Raw genomic sequence first — 23,033 nt, forward strand, 5'->3', positions numbered from 1 at the left:
TGGGCAATAAGAGCGAAACTCCGTCTCAAAAAAAAAAAAAAAAAAAAAAAGACTAGTGTTGTGGATTTGTTGGTTACCTGTGTAATGCTGTGTGTAATGTATTAACTGAAGTAATCGGGATGGATAATATTGTCACTGGTCAGCTGACAGTACACACTGGCTTCACCACACAGATTATTAAAGTATTAGATTACTTCTCTATGGAGTGGTAAATATAGCTGTCCCAAGCTCTCCAACGTAACCTCTCCCTGAACCATCCTGGCACCTCTAGAGAGAACCTGTGACTACTGCAGCAAAAAGACAATTAGAAAGTTAACATCTGCCCAGCATAAGGCCTCCAGCAAACTAAGGCAATGCTGGGGCTCTGCCTATTCTCAGTGGTTGATGCCATTTTTAAATATAAATTTTTTTGGTCATTCTTACCCACAGAAGGACTTTACAGCAAGAATAGAAGCAAGCTGAGGTGTATGCCAGATGACATGACAGGTAGGAAGAAGTGCTCACAAGGGACATAAGCCTTTCTCATCTTTGTACCTACTATACTCTTTAAGTTAGTTGCCATGGTGGGACATATAATGAGATAAATTAAAAAGACATTATATAATAGAGTTTTTATTGTGCGATGATACAGTTAAATAACAAGATGGCATATGCAAAGATGATCAGTATAAACTTGTAATTCTTTTCTTGTATTTTAATGGGCACACAATTTGGGAAAATGCATTCATGTGAGGCAAAGAGTTGTGAATAAAAAATGTTGTATTATACACAAATTTACGAAGTTTTATTCTATATAATCCTGCAGAACTTAACTTATACAATCTTCTGAACTGAAGGGAATTGAATTTCCCTGAAATTATTATGCCCACTGCAACACACAATGTTTCATTAATATGTCCACATTTTCTTTTTTAAAATTATGCCTACATTTGGGAAAACTTAAAGGTACATAATCTAGAAAAATGCAAAACAGGGAGAGCACATTGAGTCCATACCAGAAACAATCGCTTTTGACTACTGGATCATGAATATCTTACCTACAAGCTTCACATATCCTTGTGACTATTTTTGAGCAAACTATAAATTCTTAGATCTCAGACTTTTCCCTGATTTTTCTTTTTGTTAGGTAGAATAGAACGTAACAGATCATTCTAAGGCAGGATTGTTGGAGTTTTCCAGTTGAAAGGTCATGTAGCAAAATCAGTGTGCTAGCTGTAATCTTATCATGCCTTTCTCAGCATGGGAGAAATTTAAGTATTCATGATATTGTAATTACACATACTGATCCTGTTTCACTAATGACCTTGGACGAGAGTTAGAAAGGTATGTTTTCCCCTCATCACAAGAAAAAAAATTACTTATTCTAATTATTTGCTATTGAATTTATATTATACAATTTTTATAAATAATTTGATCCGACAATTAATTGGTCCTACAAATGCCATTCTTTTCTTTCATCATCTACTTTCAGAGAGAACAATTTTGAAGACATATTTCTAAGTTATTGTCCAGTGAATTACAGTGAATAAGTCTTACATAAATGATAAAAATGTAAATATTAGATCTATGCCCCAATAAAGAGGTGGGTCAGAATATTGTAAGATATTACAGGGGGCACCCCAGCTTATTGTCACTATTTTCATTCTTTTAAATGTACATTCTTAATTGTACACTTAAGCAATGTAGAGTGGGGTGAGCCCATAGCTACTTTTTGCATAAACATATGTATGATTATTTAATCAAATATCAAATCAACCCTTGCCTGTTTTACAGTGACCCGCAACACTTTCTAGTAAGGATTTTCGAAACTGCCAGTTCAGTACCAAGCAATATTGGTATATCTACCCCCAGTGCTTTTGGTAGTCAACACAATTTACATTCCTCTCCAGAATGGGCACAGACATACTGAGGCATTTGGTGCATTTAATGAGATTTTTACATGAAAATATTTTTATTTTACCTTAATTAGGCAATTAAAATAAAATAATGAACTCTTAACAGCTAGATGGGTCAAACACAAGTTAAAAGAAGGCCTTTTGCTGTGTTTCATTCTTTTAGTCTAAGATAGTGAATAATAAAATGTGGAACAAATAAAATACTTATTATTAGGACAATGAATTCTTATTTGAAAATCCAAATGACATGAAACAATTATAACCTTGGTGAAGAAATAGCTACTCATTTGCAAACTCATGTTATATGCCTAAACACTGTACTTTGGGAGATGATATAGGGACAGGTAAGTTGTAGGATGGCTGTGTATGAGCTGAGATCCTCCAATGATGCAACTACATGGGACCAAATTAATGTAGGTAATGCCTGAAGAAGATAAAGGCCATAACTGATGAGACTGCATGACTATATGCAAAATAAACAAATAAGCTAATAAATAAAACCAAAGAGAGACAGAAAGTAGGAAAAGAAATAAAAAAGAATGAACAAATGAAAGGAAGAAACAACTTTTAAAATAATTTTTAAGTGTAACATCAAGGCAAAGTTTTCCTTTCTAGAGGGTGAGCAGAACTTTGAAAATGCAAAGCTATGATGTCTGTCAAAAAGTTCAGGCATATTAACTGTTGCTCAAATTTTAGTGCCTGTTTGCAGAATCTGTGACACTGAGTGTAAGTGAAAGGGGCAGGTAGAAAGAAGATCCCTTTAAATTAATATATATGCATTATAATGATATATAATGTTTATGCATTATTATTATTCATTTTGTTAGTTATGTATAGTTTTACTCATTCATTTATTCACTAAATACCTTTATTATCTAACACAGGAAACACATACCATTGAATAAAACAGAAATGCCCCTACTGTCACAGAGCCTATATTATAGTTGGTAGGGAACAGACCATAAACCAATACATATGAAATAATTATAATGCTTATTAATGCTATGGAGAAAAATATGGCGGAAGTCAGGTTACGGAATGGCCTAGAAGAAGCATTTCAATTTTAAATAGGAATATCAGGAAAGGTCTCATTAAGATGGTAACTTACAACCAAACACATAAGGCAGGTGAGGGAGTAGGCTTTATGGGAAGGCAGAGAAGTCCAAGCATGGGCCTGGCATGTTTAAGGAAAAGGAAGAAGTCAGGGTGCTGGCAGTATGATAAGGAAGAAGTGAAGTAAAAGAAACTGTGGTCTAAGAGGTCAGAGAGGATTTCATGGGGCCTTTTAGACTAGTGAAAGATGAATTTTTTGCATTGTTTCTTTGTTTTTGTATTTTTGGTTTACTTGGAGATGCTGTTGGAGGTTGTGAGCAAAGTGACAAGGAGACAAGAGCAAAAGTAGGGTCATCTTCTAGGAGGCTATAAAATCCAAGGCAGAGGCAGTGGTGGTTTGATGATAGTCATAAAAGGAGAAAGATGTGGTTGGCTAATGATCTACTTGAAAGGTGGAGCTGTAAACATGGGCTGATGAATTGCATGTGGGTTTCAAGAGAAAGAAAGAAGGCAAAGATTACTCCAAGTCTTGGACCCTGAGTAACTTGAATGGAGTCACTATTTTCCGACATGAGCTGAGATTGCTAGAGAAGTAGGATTGGAGTGAGAGGTGAAGAGGATTTGAATATATTCAAATTTAAGATATTTTAAGATGTTGAGTAGGTGGCTAAATCTATGAACTTGGAATTTAAGAAAGACAGGTGGGAATTAGTAACACATATTTGGAAGTAGTGAGTACACAATTGCAATTAAAACCAGCAGATTGGATGAGTTTCACCCTTGACATGAGTGGAGATTAAGAAGAGGGAGGTTTGAGGGCTGAGCTTTGAGGGTTTTCAATGCATAGAAGCTGGATAGAAAATGAGGAAAAAAATAACAGAAGAAATTGAAAAGTAGTGACCAATGAGGTGGGAAAAAGATCAAGAGGATGTGTTTTAGAAGTTAAGTGAATCAAATACTTTCAGAATGAAGGAGTAAACAATCGTATCAAATACTACAGATGTGTCAAGTAAGGATTGAAAATTAATCACAGATCCTTGTTTTTATGGATACCCTTTGGAATTCCGAACTAGAATAGAAGCTTCAGTTTTATCTGATGTCATATTAGAACAAAAGCAATAACAAGTTTGTTCAGTACACTTTCCATCTGCAACACAGCGATCAGAATGACTAGCTGATGTGAACCTGAGTAAATTTTCACCTGCACAAAAAAGAAAATGAAGAGTCCTTCCTATAGGACAATGATACAAAGAGAATCTGAAGGTTCATGGTTTTCTATTAATAATTTGAAATGCAGTCTCATTTTTTCAAAGGTTGCTATTCTGCATAATTTAATGATAATGTGAGGAAATGAAAAGGCCCCAAGAGAAGTTGTCATATACTTGGGAAGTACCATAGATTCATACCACGTTAGGAAGTTCTTCGATCACAGGGCAGCTTGAGCTGCACCTTTGGATCCACTTCTTACTTGAGCCATGTTGCAAGGGGAGGCGTGTACTAGGAAACATCCCAAGGGGGCTCTGGGGACGAAGGGTCTGCCTACTAGGTCTCAAGGGCATCTTTATGGAAAAAGAAATTCTAGCGTTGGGTAGTGAAATTTGTGAGACTTCATGTTCTATTTTTATAATGATTTTTCATAAATAAGCAAAAACATGTTTCTGTGAGGAAGAGAAGCAAAGGTTAGTGACTACAAGCAAAAACAATGGTTTGGTAAGAATTTTAGATGTATCTCAAAGAAAATAAAGTCATTTTTGCAGCAGTTTCAAAAACTTACCAACTGTGGGAAAAAAATTTGTATAACAAATGCATTACATACAACAGTATCTAAATGTAATAAAAGTGAAGCAATCACTCACTTGGTAAATATTTTTATTGGGGATCTACTATATTCTAGATCATTTTGCTAGCACACAGAATACATGCTTTCAGAAGATTTATAATGAGAGTTCCCATTAAACTTAGTTTCATTTCATACGTCAAGGAACATTATCTGTCTACAGCAGACTGCGTGTTTGGTGAGGCATTGCCACATTCACAAGAATCTCTGTCCCTGTGATAAACTGGAATATAACGCTGATTCCTAAAGCCTGGAGCTGAGAAAGAGTTTTACCTCTCTTCCACACAAAGCACAGGACTTTCCTGCCAGAAGAAGACAGCAAGCGGCTCTGCAGAACAGGCTTTGCCTAACTCGCCCACTTGACTGCACAAATGGAGAAAGTGGGAGAGTGAGTGTTCATGGCAGGAAGAAGAGAGAGGATACTGTACAGACACTGACCTTTAAGGCACATTAACGCTCACGTAACAAGTCGCCCAGTTAATGTCCTGGGCTCTGAACAACCAGATTAACAGCTCTTCCTCCCTGGTCGGGGGATGAGGAGACCAGCCAAAGCCCTCTTTCCAAAGACCTTAGTTTTCTCATATATATAATGAAGCAGTTATTATGAAATTCTCAGATACCATCCAGCCTAAAATTCCACGTGGCATAAAAACAGAATTTTGAAGATAATATGTACATTAACACTTTTAAATCCTGCATTTTAAAAGGATTGGCATATATTTGCTTCTCAAGCTGTGGTGGGTAGAATCAGCTTCAGCTGGAAATTGTTAGAAATAGAGTCTTCAGGACTTACCCCTGGTGAACCGAACCAGGATCTGCATTTTAACATGAGTCCCATTTTATATGCACATCTAAGGCCACATTCAGACCAATCTTTGAGTAGCAAGTTTATAGAGATAAAACCACAAGGTTCGTTGAATTTCAATAATAGTCTGTTACACTAAGACAATTACAAACGGACAGCAGTTCTCCTTACCATTCTTTGAGGGTTCTATTTACTACAGAGAATTACAATGTAACTAATAAATAGAAAATCTGTCTAATGACATCTAGGATTGTCATTTCCCATTCGGTTAGGGAAAGAAAGGAAAAATGCCTTCTTGGTACTTGTCTTCTACATATATATTGAAATTTTATTTAAACTTACAATATCATCTACTTACACCTCCCTGATTCCCTTGTTTGTGCTACTTTGAGATTCTCAAAATGTTTGCCTGACTATTCTGAGTCTTCTCCCAAGGACTATTTTGGAAAGGACTTTCTAAAGTTATCAGGAACTTATATGAAGTTCTTTAAAGATCATTGAAAATCAATTGCTTTGAAATCAACTATGTATTTTGGCTTATTCTAAAAACTATAAAAGAAATTATAAAAATATAACCGTTGCACATGTCTATCAACATACTTATTGTCAAATTTTCTTGTTCCTCATTCAAATGTATAACTTAATTTTATTTGGATGAACTTAAATAAATCTGATATGAAATTTAAATCATACAATTATTTTAGTATAATTTCAAGACTTATTAATCATAGAGAAATATGAAAAATGATTAAAATACTTTAGTATGAGTTGTTCTTAAATATAGAAAACATCTTATCCTGAAATGTGAAGAAGGAAAGTTTAAGAAAATACCTAGAAGGAAATGGCACACCGTTATTGCAATCCAAGGAGCACTGATAGCTAGCAGTTAACAGTATTTTTAGTTGTAAATACGGAAAGCCTAATCAGTGTAATTTCACAATAAGAAAATTTTTACTGTCTTCAGTGACTTAAAAATACAGAGATAGCCTGGCTTTCAGTGATTCTGGACCCAATGGCTCCAGGTTTTTGAACAGGACTTGATTTCTTTCTTTCCATTCATTTCCTCCTCTCTACAGGCCTCCAACCTCAGCCAGCTCCCCTCTTGACATCACATTGGCTGACAGCAGCTTTCAGCTCTAGGTGCTTTCTTGATTTACTTCAGCAAAGAAAAAATACAATGCTTTTGTCTCAATATTTTTAGTAAAATTCTGAAACCTAGTGTGATCGAACCAACTTAGGACCCATGCTCACTTCTAAAGCAGTAACTCAACCAGGGGGATGAAATGCACTGATTAATCTAGTCTTAAACAAGCCTCCATGCTTGATCTGAGGAAGGCGTGAACTTACCTAGAAGCACGTAAATATCTCATTGGAAATAAGGTTCCAGGTGATAGAAAAAAGGGAAATGCATGCTGAAACAGCAACCAACATTCACTCTACCTGGCCTGATAGCTAGCTTTCCCTGATGGGAAAGTAAACAAGTGAAATTTCATTTGGTGGTAGGTGTATTTTCATATTTGCATTAAAAATACCCTAAGGGGAAAAAGTAAGGACATTCTGGAGGTAAGATTTAAGATGACAGACAGAAAGAGAGCTGAAGAGTTCCTAAAATCTAAAATCAAACTTGGTTCAGAAATATGGGAAGCACCCTTACTTATTTGAAAAATATTTTGGGATTGAAAAATAAATTTAATTATACAAATACTTTTACTTAAAAAATAAAATACTTCATATTGTGTGGGTGCTGTTATCCTTCTGAAACAAAGACACAATCCTGTTTTTCCTCTAATCAGAAACATTTCGTGATGACCCATTGCTTATAGGGTAAAATCTAAACTCCTTAACAAGAGGGTTTCCACACAATCTATCTCTAATATTTCTATCTTTAATTTCTTCAGTTCATTCTGCCCTTCCCCACCTCACGTTCTTGCCTCTGTGAACTCTGCACTTTTCTCCTTCCCAGACCCGCCAACCATTTTCGTAAGTTCTTGCCTTTACTTATTTGTGTCTTTACCTGGGACACACCTCTCCTCTATTTAGCCTCATACCTCACCCCATGCTTCTGATTCTATGAGGCAGGAGGCCCCTTTCTGCTTTTGTGCCATGGTTATCACACTTATCCCCTTCACAGTGTTATTACTGGTTGCCTCTTATTTTACTGTAAACTAGTTGAAGGTTGTGAAAATGTTTTATTCAGGTTTGTGTAGTCAGAACCCAAGACACAATAGTCTTTCAGTAAATGTATATAGTCAGTTAAATTTTAAGGCACTCAAGGATAACAGGAAACACTGCATTCAAGAAAGCATTTTTTTTTTAACATCAGGGATTATAAATTCAAATTACTGGTTTGACACAAATCATTGTAGATAGATAGATAGATAGATAATTTGGTTAGTTTTTTTAAATGAAATATTGTTGTTTTCAAATTTTACTGTTACATTAAATGTTTGTCCAAACAGGTCATATACTAGGAAGCTTCTTTGTTGAGGTAGAAGTTATAGGAGGAGTTATTTCTAGAATTAGCAGATTATTGAATTTGTTAAACATCTAGTTGCTTATAGTCAGGCACAAGAGTTATATTATAAAAAAGAAATATGTGAATGATGCATGTGTAGTTTTATGGGAAATTGCCAGCGATTTTGGGAAATACTATATATACAGTATTGGAGTTCAATGTAACATATAATCACAGTTTACTTGTCACTTGTCTACCTCTAGTCTTGGTAAGTAATACAAGATACAAGTAGAAAGAACCATAATGGGGTCAAACATTATTATTTGGGAGAAAGGGATTCAACTAATAACCGGGATATTCAATCTACCCACTGAGCCTCAGTGTCCCAGTTTATGAAATGAAAGCATTCCAAGAAAAGTCAATAAATTTTGTTCTCTGACATTTTGAAGCAACTTACTGAAACCTAAAACTTTGGGTAATTTGTTTTCCCTTCCAAAGATATCATCTCATGTCTTTAAAAATATTTTTCAGTGATATTGGCAGCATTCAATGTATTTCAGAACATTTTTATAATTTTTTAGAGAGTAGAACATAAAATTAACATATACTTAATAATGAAACAGAATCTTTATTTTGTGTGTGTGGTTTTTGTTTTGGAAACCAGTGAAAAATTACTCTTAATTTAATAAATAAACTGTTTAATATGGTTTGGACACAAAACTAAGGTGAAAATACAATTAGTGAGTCTTTTTAAAAGATGATACATATTTAAAGACGGCATATCTGGCTGGGCGTGGTGGCTCATGCCTGTAATCCCAGCACTTTGGGAGGCCAAGGCGGGCAGATCATGAGGTCAGGAGATCGAGGCCATCCTGGCCAACATAGTGAAACCTTGTCTCTGCTAAAAAATACAAAAATTAGCTGGACGTGGTGAACTGTGCCTGTAATCCTAGCTACTTGGGAGGCTGAGGCAGGAGAATTGCTTAAATTAGGGAGTCGGAGGTTGCAGTGAGTCGAGATCCTGCCACTGCACTCCAGCCTGGTGACAGAGTGAGACTCCGTCTCAAAACAAAACAAACAAACAAACAAAAAGTCATGTCTAACAGCGATTCAAGCATTTGATTCAAGCATTCATATCTAACATAGTGATTCAAGCATTTGAACATAATTTCAGCAAGTATATAGCCTTCAAAAATTTTACTGCTAAACGCAAGAAAGATATGGTTTGTTGAAAAATTAATTGACCTAATTCCCTGAGACTGAGGAAATATGAATATGGTTAAGAACAAAAGCTAAGTCATCTATGAGTTCAAATCTAAAATCTATTAAAAAGAAATAGTCACAGGGTTGTTATGAGGATTGAACAATATACATTCATTACAAAACACAATGCCTAGAATAGTCAGCCTTCAACAATTTTTGTTGTTGTTGTTGTTGTGATGAAGTCTCAGTCTGTCGTCCAAGCTGGAGTACAATGGCACTATCTTGGCTCACTACAAACTCCACCTCCTAGGTTCAAGCGATTCTCCTGCTTCAGCCTCCTGATTAGCTGGGATTACAGGTGCTCACCTTCATGCCTGACTAATTTTTGTATTTTTAATAGAGATGTGGTTTCACCATGTTGGCCAGACTGGTCTTGAACTCCTGACCTCAGGTGATCTGCCCGCCTTGGCCTCCCAAAGTGCTGGGATTACAGGCGTGAGCCACTGCACCCAGCCTCAACAAATGTTTTCTATTGATTATTATTACCTAATAATAATCACATAATCAGATAATATGTCAAGTTGTTACAGTTTGTTAAAGATGTTAATTTGTTCATCTGTCCTTAAATATTCATAAGTGGTTTATTGAAGCCATATAGATCAAGAAATGAAAAAACTGAAGCTGTATAAAATTCAGTGGTGTGGTCATGCCTAAACAAAATAAAAATTTTGCCTTTCAATGAAAACTTGTTCTTCATTAATAGGGCTGTGCTTTGAGAATTGGAAAAAGGACTAGCAGGGCCTAGCTTTTTCAGGAAGATAAAAAACTTAGCTTATGAGATATATTTAATTATATATTGTTTCACGATTCTTCAAAAACTGCCACATCTGTTGTTTCACATCACCCTCATAAGAATGTTGTGTAGTAATCAGAGTAGGCTTAAAATCTACTTTAACAATGGAAGAAATTGACACTTGGGGAGGATGTGACTTATTTAATGTTCAACGACTGGAATGAGGTGTAGCTAGATGGTCTTTGTCCTTTCATTGGGTTCTCTCCCATCAGTCCATCTTCACTGAGAAGAGATACTCAGTAAATGTATCCTGCTTGACTGACATAAATATATATATTTAAGAAATTTTAAAATTACAGGATATCAAACTTAGTAAAAAATCTCTAAGCTGTTTTAGAACATAAATGTACTCTACATTACTCCTCTGGTTTAGTGTCTTCAGTTGGCTAGAGTTGAGTTGGCTATGGTCCAATCTTGAAATGTTATTCTTCTTATGAGTGGCTGGGATAATCAGGCAATGAGGGCGAGCAACAGCACAATCTACTTATGGTACTTTGTGGTGCTTAGAGATAAGAGTCACTACAAGTCCCAAAGTATCATAAGCTTTGACTTCTGTAAATGCGAAAGGACCTTGCATAAGGCATTTCTAAGAGATTAAGTTGATTTTCTAAGTGAGAAATGGAACCTCAGAAGCAATAAAATTATGGAACTATTGAGGTTGGTTCTTAATCCAAATCAATAATTTAATCCTCATATAGGTTTAAGAATCAATGTTTTATTTTATTTTTAATATAAAAATCAATCTTTTGAGATGAACATAACCTTTACATGAATATTTTTATCTCCTGAATTACTGTCAAATAAAGTATCTTTGTTATCTTTAAAAGAAGATGTGAATCCTAGGTGAATGGCAAAATGATACTAAAAATCCATGGCTTCCAGTTTACTCAAGACATGCAAATGGGAAATTGATTATAATGTATAAAAGTATCATGTAATTAAGTAATTACATGATACTTTGCGAGGGTGCCACAATTTTTCAGTCTATATTGATAGCAGTGAAAGAAAAAGAGACTTATGCATACTATATAGAGAGAATAGCTAAAGAAAACAGTTTATCAGCACCATAGGAAAGGTTAAAAAAAAGAAAAGAAAAATGAAAGTCTAAAGTGGACATAAAGCATATATGATATTACAAAGAATGGGCTATTGCAGTAAAGCTAAGATGAAAATGAGAAGTGTGATAAAAGGGTTAAGCATTGAGGTTATGGAATTTGGCTAAGGTTTGAATCCTGGTTTTATCACTTACATCTTGAGCAAATTAATCTCTCTGAATTTCATCTTCACCTAAAAATGAGGCAATAATTTTACTCTCTCATAGAGTTTTTTGAGAATTAAAAAGGATAATGTAAATAAAGTGTTGTGCATAGTTCTTGGCACATAGCAAATACTCAATGAAAATTATCTATCATATTATTATAATATAATATATACTATTATTATCTTTTAGATTATCTGATTTTAATCTCAAATAGATTTTCAAAGATTTTGAACATGAAAACCAGAATAAAATAATATTCCCTAAATATATAGTTTGAAATCAATATTGTGAATCCAACTGGTGCATGTCTGCAGTGCCCTTCCTTTCAAGTTAAAACAACAAAAACAATTATGATTTAGTAAGGGAACAAAATCTCCTTTCAGACAATCTTGCCAATTCAGTAAAACTCAAATAATGTAATTTTAATTTAGAAGGCCTTTTTCTATATTGCTTCTAAGGAAAAATTCAATTCAGAAAGCTGATATTCAAATTTTACTCAAATTAATAATTAAAAAAATTTATTATTCTATTAAATTCAACATTTATTTACTGAAGGCCTACAAAATGTCCATAATTTAAAGTAATCTTATTCATCAGACCTTATTAACCCCATAATACTTTTTTTTGCATAAAATCCAGATCCTGCACAAAAACCCACTATACAAGAATAGTATTCATTAGAAATAGCACAGATATGCCTATTAAGTGTTAAGCATCATTTGACTCCACTTTTGTTCCTCTAGAGTAGATATGAAAAGTTAGAGTTTAGTTACTTCAGGGAATAAGATCAGTACAGAAAATAAACACATCTTAGTTACTACCCTCAACCTGGCACACAGCTTGGCAACAAATGCTTTTCTAGAAGATAATAAAAAGAAAAAGTAGTCCAAATCACACCCACATAGCAAGGGTGAGACAGTCACCTTCCCTAGAGTCAATTGCTCATGCTCAGATTATATGAACCACAGGATTGATTTCTATGCAGTCAAATGAAAAGCAAACTCTCTGTCACCCAGGATTTTCATTGTGACAGGGGACACTTTGCTCTGATTTTGAGGAAAAAGGGGATGCGAGCAGAGCATTTTCTTTTGTTGAATATATATACATATATATTATTAAAACAAAGGGAACTATAATGTCATCCAAGGCATTAAAAAGACCCTAACATTTATTTTTCTTTGATATTCTGCCAGCCAGTTGTTTGAGCAATCTTTCTGAGAAGAAAGTTCTTTAGAAAACAACAAACTGCGATAGTTCTCTCAGTTAACCTAGAAGTTAACATAACTATGCCCACGGCCCATTTAACTTAACAGCTTGCCTGTCCTGGAATTGCAGATAGGGCTTGCAATAATCATGTTATGCCACAGTGCTGTGGACCAATTCTTTATCAATTGTTTGGAAATAAGTCAATCCCAAACACTCAGCTCCTCAAATGAAATGACAAAATGTTAAAGAAGATGATTGTACTCCTGAATTGCAGAATCATAAAGGGAAACCTGATTAGGTCATCTGCTGTGACATGCAGAATGTTAATGAAGTTGGGGACTTAACATCTTGGTAAGGGTGAGAGGTGCTTTTCAGCATTAAACAAAGCAAAACTAAAGCTACCCGTGACTGAAAGCTTGCTTTGTAGTTTCACACCAGAGTCCCAATTTTACAGGCAATAGGCAGGAAAGACCACAGCACTCTGTGTGATGTGAAAATATTACCTACCTAGATTTGGAGTGGACGTTATAAGCCAGTTTCTTTTTGTCTAAAATGTAATAGAAAAGCTATACATCTAACAATAAAAAAGGAATTACATTTTGGTGAGGGAATAGTAAAGGTTTCCAGCACTTTCACAGGCCAACCAAATGTCGTCCTCTGCCATGTAAATGCAGTAAAAGGATATCTGCATTAAATTACAGGATTTATAGTCGGCAGAAAAATGAAACCACGTAAAGATCATTTTTGCATTAAAATTTGGTTTTCTCTGCTAGTATATATTTTAAAAATATAGGTGCTTTTTACTAATGAAGTACATCAAAGCACATTATGTTCTGCATTTTGTGAGAACTAGGCAATTTATAAATGCGATTCACATTTAATTAGTAGTCATTTCTTCTCCATAAGCATATTTACTCGGATCTCTTGTTCCTACGGCAACCCAGTGAGTACTACAGCTACGAGAATAGCCTAGACTAACCTAAAAAAGGACAGAGATTAATGAGCAAGCTCAATATTAAGACTATAATGCTCTAAGACCAAGCTCTAAGATTGGTGACGGGAGGATTACAAAGAAAGCTCAAATAAGAATCTCTTATTTCAAGGAAGCTATTTATATAGCAGCACAGATTTTATTTATTCAAGAGTGCCTATAGTATACAGTGAGTACAAGAGATGACTCATTTAGTGCTAAGTTCTGCTTAATTGGCTAACCACGCAGGTACGGTGTCACACATATACATGCATATATACATACATGTATATAATTATCCGCTTAACACACTTATCAAGGGACTATATAAACAACATTACAAGGAGTTGTGCTTATGGATGTTTCCCTTAAATACTGCACTTGTTTAAAAATAGACAGTCTTTAAAATTAGCTTTGATATAAGACGATGTCATTAAACATTTAGTGAAAAATCATCTTAAATCTGAATGTTTATGTTATTTTAAGCATAATTCTCTGATCAGCTTCTTATTCCAGTTGCAATACTCAGCCATTATTAAAGGGTTGACTTGAAAATAAATAACAAAAGCAATATTAAAGGTAACAGAACAAAAATAAATGGGCCACAAAAATCTTGCAGGTTCCCCTTAAAATTCTTCTTACAAGTGACATTTCTTAATTTAAAGATTTAGATGGGAGAGGTAGGTATAAGGAATTGAGGCCTAAATATGTTTCTTTACAAAAAGTTATATAATTTTACAATTTCTTTTAGAGGCAAATTAGAAATAATTAAAAATCTTTTAAACTTTAGGGGGAAAAAATAACAACAACAAAAACCAAACTCCTGGAGTCAAGCTAATTTTGCTTTGCACATTGCAGACGGGTGACAATAATGACTGCATGCTATTTGTCCTAAAATGTCTCATCTCAAAACAATATGTGGGAGAGATAATGAATATCAGGAAGGGCAAATTAGAAATTATATAATCCTTGTTATCGAATCTTGCTTAGTAAAAATGACAGGCTCTCTTTAGAGCTGGGTAGTCCATTCTCACTACAACAACATAGAGGCAACAGCATCGTTACGAAGCTTCTAAATTATCCTGCTTAGTGGCAAGAAGTAAAAATGATTCCTTCTGACCTTTCTACATTGCTTCGTTAACTCTAACTTGCAAGCCACAAGTATAAATGAGAAGCTTTTGCAGCTCCCTCTGATATAACTGATTAAAAGAAGTGGCTACTCAGTATCTGTTCAGGAGACTGGGGACCTCTCATGTGCTAAACCTGGTCAAATTCAGTGTGTGGTCTGAAATGCCTCCCATACATTCACTAATGCTCATTTTGGTTCAACCAGGGCATTTTAATTTGTTTCCTTTTTTGATTCTTGCAGATGTGAAACAGTTTGTATACCTTCTGCTGAGTTTCAGACAATAGTAAAATTATTTTATGTGGCTTCATCAATTTAAAGAATGAAACTATTTTATAAGGATTAATCTGTGCAAATACTGACGGTAAGCCAATTCTGTTGTCTCAAATCCAGCTGTATAATATAATATCAATCCCTTTTTAAAAATACAAAATAGCTCCTACCTATAATTTTTCTTTGTGAAAATGCGCCTTTACCAGCAACGATTGTCTATGCAGTGAATTAATTATACTCAACAATTAAATCACAAGGCATTTCTCTCTCAGATAATCTGTGAATTTGAGTTCAGAATTTCTATAGGTACTTTTGTTCCTGTATGGAGAGTATTTTAATACCAAAGAACACAGCAACTTAAATGCCATTGCCTGGGTTTTATGAAAAAGCAATATAGGAGGGTAAATAGGGCAGATACCAACAACAAAGAACCCCCCCGCCCCACTCCACCATCCACTTTGAATCAAACAATAAATGCAAATAGAAGAACTAAACCAGAGCAGAGAGGTAGGGGGATGAACACTGTGCTCTCAGCATTCCTTCCTGAAAATGCTCACCAGCCTGTTTTAGGCAAGAATATTCTGCTACGTTTAAATATATATATATATATATATCATAATCGGCCATCAGTGAGTCCTCTTCACTCAGCTTCCCAGGTAGAATTAAAACGTAGTCCCAGAGGCACCAAGACATGAAAACTGAGCCCTCTCACCGCAGATAATCAACACAGAAGAGCAGCTAACTTCTTAAATAACCACAATTAAATTGCACACACTCTTCTCCCTTCCTGGTTTTCAAACGTAGGGTTATTTATCAGAGAAGAAAAACTGGAGGCTGCATCTTTAGAAGGCAGCCAGGCACTTCTAACCTAATTAGCGTTAGTCACCTCTGAAAATAAATCCCCTGAATCCTGCAGCTCCAAAGTCACCCCCGCCCCCTCTACTCCTCCATACCCACAAGCACCTGGTCAGAATTGAGCAGCCCGACAGGAACCTTCCTGCCCTGACCCCCAGCAAACAGCGGTAAGAGGGATTTGCCACGACCTTCCAGGAAATCAGGTAAAACAACAACACAGGGGGTGATGCAAGCGATTTGCTTTTTCTGTGTTCAAACTTCATGCCCACGCCACCACAAAATACAGCCCGGAAGCTGCTCCAGCCCGGAAGGCTCCCGGCTCAAACAGAAGGCACAGAAAAGAATGGAGATTTGCAGATCTGATAATGAGCCAGTTAATGACATAAATGATACCTCAAGAACCTCACTAAACCATCCAGGTCCTACAATTTAATCTGTAATAAATACTCCTGCATCATTGCGAGATGGCTGCTCATAATGGCAAATGAAATATGCTGGTATGATAGGTACAATAAATCTGGATTTTCCTATGGTTCCCTCAGGCTAGAACAATATGTAACCACAGTGCGCACTGTCAGGATGAGCAGATCTCAAAGCCATCATAAAATCTAAATGGGGACTAATTAGGAGGCCCTTCCCTTCCAGAGTTACTATTTCTATTGACATTTTCCATGCATGAGCCCCTCCATAACATCGTAAGTCACCAAGATAAGAACTCCCTAGATTATAGGGGAAAAGCTTTAATGGAGAAGTTGAACTCAAAGGCGATGCATAAATTTTCCTTTTGATACTATGGGAAGTCTGTGTTCAGTACTTTCTTTACAAACTTTCAAGTCATGAGCAGGGTACTTTTTAATCCCTCTGCACGCTTTCTTCCTGCCTGGCCCATACCAGTCTCTCTGCACCGGGCGTGTGAGTGTCAGGTGGTGACCAGGGAGGATATTAAAAGAGTGGGCTGCTCGTAAAACTCATGGCTGTGGGTCAGGAGAGTGTCAGGGGGTGCACTTGGCAAGTTGGGTTCTGGGCCAAGGCCTTTTGCCTTGAAGGTTGAAACTTCCCTAAAGGTCACTGACAATTAGACTTTCCTAAGGCTATTGCAAACAGGAATGGGGCAGATTTCCCTAAGCCAGCCCTTTCTATGCTGCAAAACGAATTAAGTATTTTGATACTAGGGTCCCATAGGTCCTTGAGAAAAGGTGAGGGGGGTTATATAGACCAGCATATGTGTGTCTGTGTGTGTGACCTTTGAGTTTGGCTGTGGTGGGAATGAGACCTCCAGGGTCCCTGAAGTAGAAAGCTGGTGGAGAGAAAGCAGGACGTTAGCGTCTGAAAAACTTTCTGTTTTGTTGTCTACCAATGATATGACAAGTTGTTTAACTTTTCTGAGAAAGAAAGTGTTCATTTAAAAGGGGGAATAAAAATAACTAATTCCATAAAGATATTGTGCAGGTTAAAATATATATGTAGGTAATTTGAAAAATAGCCATCAATACTATTACTTTTGAAATTATTTTTTTCATTTCAAATAAATAAAATTAGGAAAATGCCATGAAAAGGGGATGTGCCACCAAGTATTCTTACGTCTCAAAATTTGTTTTGTAAATAGGAAAATCAGATTGTTGGGAATGAGTTGTTTTATGAAACAATCATCTTATACTAAAGAGGCATCTTCCTGTTCCTAGTTTAATTACTCGCAAGCATTATCTTGCTTTTGTATTTGTTATAGTATGTTTGGTTACTGAATGGAAGGCTGAGTAATGAGTGCAGAGCAAAGGCAGTAACACTGAACTGCTCCTTAACAAGACAGCGCTTCGGGGCTCTGTTAGCAGTCTCCTAACAGCCAAGGCTTGGGGTTCTTACTGTCCTTAAACACTTTCTAATCCAGAGTGAGTATCAGTGACAACCAGGGCGACGTATATCTGTGCATAAAGGTGATTAACACAGAAATCTTCAATATAAGAGGTAAATTTGGCTATATTATCTATTGATTTAGCCGCTGGTAAAATACATTCCTGTCCTAGATCATAGTCTACTCTATGCAGTAGATTAAAGGCTGTCTGGTAGATATTTGGTGAATGGTTTTACCTGCAAATACTTTGTTTAGTCTGAATTTAAGATTAAACTGATAGCATCTTAGAAGATAAGTAACAGTTTTGTGTGTGCATCTGTTTATTTTAAATTTATATATAAATGTCTACTTTGTATTCTTGTCTTCCAGTGTGGCTAAGCTTTTTGTTATTGTTTGTTCATTTGTTTGAGACAGGGTCTTGCTGTCACTCAGGTGGAGTGCGGTGGTACAATCTTGGATCACTGCAAACTTTGCCTCCCAGGCTCAAGTGATTATTCTGCCTCAGCCTCCTAAGTAGCTGGGATTACAGGAGCACACCACCACACCTGGCTAATTTTTGTATTTTTAGTAGAGACAAGGTTTCACCATGTTGGCCAGGCTGGTCTTGAACTCCTGACCTCAAGGGATCCGCCTGCCTTGGCCTCTCAAAGTACTGGGATTATAGGCATGAGCCACTGCTTCTGGCCCCAGTGTGGCTAAGTTTGTTTCTTATTATTTTGATCATTGTTATTACCAATCAGCCTTCTAGAAACTTTGCTGAACACATTTCACTTGTTTGTTTTGGTAACTATTGCAAAAAATGTAATTTCTATAATCTAATATTGAAAATTGTGAAAGTATCCTCATATTGTGTATATTAGTCTGTTCTCACATTGCTATAAAGAACTACCCGATACTAGGTAACTTATGAAGAAAAGAGATTTAATTGACTCACAGTTCCACAGGCTATATAGGAAGCATGGTTGGCGGTGGGGGGGCCTCAGGAAACTTACAATCATGGTAGAAGGAGAAGGGGAAGCAAACACATCTTTACGTGGCCAGCGGGAGAGAGAGGGAAGGGGGAAGTGCTATGCACTTTCAAACAACCAGATCTTGTGAGAACTCACTCACTGTCACAAGAAGAGCAAGGGGGAAATCTGCCCTCATGATCCAATCACCTCCCACCAAGTCCCTCCTCCAACATTGGGGATTACAATTCAACGTGAAATTTGGGTGGGGATGCAGAGCCAAACCATATCAATGTGCTATGTGTTATATTTTTATAGAAAATGAAATAATTACCTGTAAACATTATAAGGACATCAATAGAATAGGATAAAATATATTCCAAAGCCTATACAGCTTTCAAACTTTGTAGTTTTTATGAAGTTAAAACCATAAGTTAGATTTAAAGTAGTTTGGAGATACTAGTTAGGTTCCATTTGAGTTTGACTTATAATTTTCTTTCTAAAACCATTTTTCATAATTTGGTAGAATACCTTCTTCTTTCCCACCTCAACTATTGCAAAAAGAAAAAAAATTGTTATTACAAAAGAGGTAAAGGTAATTACGTTATAGGATTTGTTGTACCACTACTGTCCTAAATTAAAAGGTAAGAGAAAATACTGTTTAATACAAATAATTTTTCAAACTTGAGATGTATTTCCTGGGCTCTGAGCAAGCTGTTGGGGTTCAAGGCCATCCAACAGGTCAGAAGTGTTCTCTTAAAAACTGAGACTTGTAGAGAAAAAGGGAGGCTGAAGTCTTTGTGAACTAACATACCTTAGGTTTACAGCCCAGAGTCGAGAATTAAAAATTTAATTTTAGCCTCTCACACACTTGCCTTCATGGGATGTCTTAGTTTGTTTTCTGTTACTATAACAATACCATAGATTGGGTAATTTAGAAAGCAGTTCTCACAGTTCTGGAGGCTGGGAAGTCCAAGAGCATGGTGCTGGCATCTAGTAAGGGACATCTTGTTGCATGATCCCATGGCGGACAAGTGAGTACATGCAAAAAAAGAGGCACCAGGAACTGAACTTGCTTTACAATAAACCACTCTTGTTATAACTAACCCACTCCTGATATAACAACATTAATCCATCCATAAGGGCTCTGCCCTCATGACCCACCCAGTCATCTTCTCCCTACACTGTTGCACTGGGGATTAAGTTTCCAACACATAAATTTTGGAAGGACACATTCAAACCATAGCATGGGGCTTCTGAAATACTGATCAGCTTAGCTCTCATTGGCTCAGAGTTGATTCTAAGGTGTTTAGTAGTTGATATAGTTTGGATGTTTGTCCCCTCCAAATCTCATGTTGAAATGTGATTCCCAATGTTGCAGGTGGAGCCTGGTGGGAGGTGTTTGGGTCATGGTGGCAGATCCTGCATGAATGGCTTTGTGCCCCCTCCCAGGGTAGTGAATTCATGTGAGATCTGGTGGTTTAAAAAACAGTCTAGGCCCTCTCTGTCTTTCTCTCACTTTCTCTCTCACCATGTAATATGCCAACTCCCCCTTTGCCTTCTGCCCTGATTATAAGCTTTCTGAGGCCTCACCAGAAGTTGAGCAGATGCTAGTTCCATGCTTGTATAGTCTGTGGAACTGTGAGCCAAATAAACCCTTTTTCTTTATAAATTATCCAGCCTCAGGCATTCCTTAATAGCAATGCAAATGGACTAGCACAGTAGTTACAGATTTTTCACTCAATAAATATTTATTTTATATCTGTTCCGTGCTAAACACTATTCTAGGTGAAACAGCATTGTACAAAACAGGCAAAACCTGGCCTTTGTAGAATTTGTGTTCTACTATATGGAGAAAGACAATAAATAAATATACAAGTAAATTCAAAATATGTTGGATGGTGATAAATGCTATGAAGAGAACTGAAACAGTGTTGAAGGGATTAGTAGTGAGGGGTACAGAGGAAGGCACTGATATTTGATATGGGACAATCAGGCAAGGTCTCACTGAGAAAATGACATTGGAGCAAAGACCTGAAGTTGATGAGGGATCCAGCATTGTGGATATGTGGAAGTAAGGCATTTCAGATAGAGGCAGTAGCAAATATCCTGTGGTAGGGCAGGCATGGTGCCTTTAAAAAACATGGAATGTTGGTATGGGGAAGGGAGTAAAGAGGAAACCAATAAAAAGTAAGGTCATTGACGTGGCAACTGGCTAGCTGGTGTAGGGCCTGGTGACTACTGTAAAGATAGTGACTTTTAATTTCAGTAAGAAAGGAAGACTCTGAGAAGAGGAATGAGAAGATCTTGCATTTTTAGACTATCAATCATTCCAACCACTGTATTGAAATTAACCTGGGAATGGAAGAGGTGAGGGCTTGGCAGCCAGGGTAGAAGCAGGGAGAGTGGTAACGATTGACTGTGGTAATTCAGGTGAGAGGTAATGGGGGTTGGGACCAGATTGGTACAGCTTGAAGAAGTGGTCAGATTTGGGATATTTTAAAAGCACAATATAGAGAATTTGTGAAAAGATTCAATGAGCCCATGAATGAAAGACAGGAATGAGAAAAGGAAGGACTAAATACTCTTTAAATATTTATTTAATAGTAAACACTGATCATACTCTCAGACTAACATAGGAGACAAAATGATTATTTTGTTGTATGCTGTCCCTCAGTGTATACCTGTCCATCCACTCAACAAACACAATAGACGCTGATTGAATACCCACCATGTGCCAGGTTCAGTGCTGGCAATACAACGGTTAACAAGGCAGATAGATGATTTCCTCAGAGAGACTGAGCTCATGTTTGAGTGAGAGACGAGGAGCAGGCAAATAAAAAGCAACCAAAAAATAAAGAAGTTTGTGGTGTCTGCTGTGAAATAAATAGCAATGTTGATGTTCTTAAGAGAAATAGCCACTGTCCTGAATAATCTTTAGGTTCACTCTCCTGATGATGACTTGTAAAAAGGATACTGCTTCCAAAATTTCTGCCCACTCCAGAGTGAATGTTTCTTTGCTGAATAGGTGGTACTGATCATTAATGAAGTCAGGATTCCAGACTCATAAAGAAATAGAATCATATGAAAGAGTCACAAACGAATGTGAAATATCTACTGGATATGCAAAGAAAATACCCCAAATCTAAGAAGATGTAGAAAACCAAAATCATGCTTGTACTGGACAAATATAGAAAGACCCATTCTGTTTCTGTTTTATTCTTCATTTTAAGCTAAGGAAAAATGATTTGCTGCTAGTTATGAAGATGAAAACTCCCATTGAAAGTTGATTTTTATTAAAAGTGTGTTTAGCCAAATTGGATAATTCAGATGATGAAACTGAGTTTTGAGGTTTTGGTTATTTGCTTAGCCTAAATTCAGCAGATAATTGCTTCACAACTTCTTTGGATGAACCTATTTGTTCTTGTAATTTTAACTATTACACCTAATGAGAACATTCAAGTCCCTATTTTTCTAGCCCCAAGAATCCACTGTGCTTCTGGCTCCTATACCTAAGTGTTGGCTAGACTTATCCATCAGTATGACATACAGATGCTTTAGAGTCTGCACGTTATCATGCTGCCATTTGTATATCTTTCTAAACTAATTTAGCTAGCTTCTTCACGTGAATCTTCTCTCATTAAGTAGACATTAAACCATCTAACCAATCATCAAAACAAAAACTAGTTTTCTTCTGCTTCCTCAGCCTTCATACACAAACACTAATAAACCCTTACCAATATCTTTTAGTCAGCATAGACTAGGTTACTCACTAGTAGCAAGTGATACCCAAATCTCAGTGGCTTCACACAACAAATGTTTATTTATCATTCTCCAAAAGTCTTCTGCATTAGCCCTCCTTGTGAAGATTCAGCATTATATCCATCTTTGTTCTTATAGGAAGCCCATTGTAATGTGCTTCCACAAACACCATGGCAGGGAACTGAACAACGGCAGGTCATGGACAGGCTCTTCCATGTTTTCACCCAGAAGTGCCGTATGTCCTCCTTATCCACAGCCTATTGGCCAGAGCTAATCACATGGCACCACCCACAACCAGGGACCTGAGAACTGCAGTTTTGCATGTGCCCCAAAGGGCAGGTGAACACGCTCATGGTATCTTCCAAACACGTCTCAATGTTTTTTACCCATCTTGAAATACCTCAATGCCTCCCATCATCTATGGAATGCAATACAGTACCCACAGTTCTGTGCATCTTGCTCTCTTACACTCCCCACTCACCAAGTGAAATGACTCACATGGAAAGTTGCCTGACATGCTTTTCTTCCTTCTGTACCTAGCTAACATGCAGTGATCCTGAGAATAGAGATCAAGCCACATTTTCTCCAAAAGGCATTGCTGATCCTCAGGTTGTGCCATACATAGTCCTTGGTGCTATCAGAGCTCTCAGCACATGCCTTTAGTAGACCAAAGTATTTTGGTG

The 23,033-nt window shown here is 36.6% G+C and overlaps 1 long non-coding RNA gene across 1 annotated transcript in view; it reads left to right on the forward strand.

Moving 5' to 3' along the window:
* The first annotated feature begins 263 nt into the window (after positions 1 to 263).
* The window catches only part of LOC124907897 (uncharacterized), a 77,991-nt gene continuing 55,221 nt past the window's right edge, over positions 264 to 23,033 (forward strand). Inside the window, exon 1 of the long non-coding RNA XR_007087269.1 lies at positions 264 to 486. This is a non-coding gene — a long non-coding RNA (uncharacterized LOC124907897). The remainder of the gene's footprint in view (positions 487 to 23,033) is intronic.

This window comes from Homo sapiens, chromosome 2 (assembly GCF_000001405.40).
Source record: "Homo sapiens chromosome 2, GRCh38.p14 Primary Assembly".
NCBI classification, from domain to species: domain Eukaryota; kingdom Metazoa; phylum Chordata; class Mammalia; order Primates; family Hominidae; genus Homo; species Homo sapiens.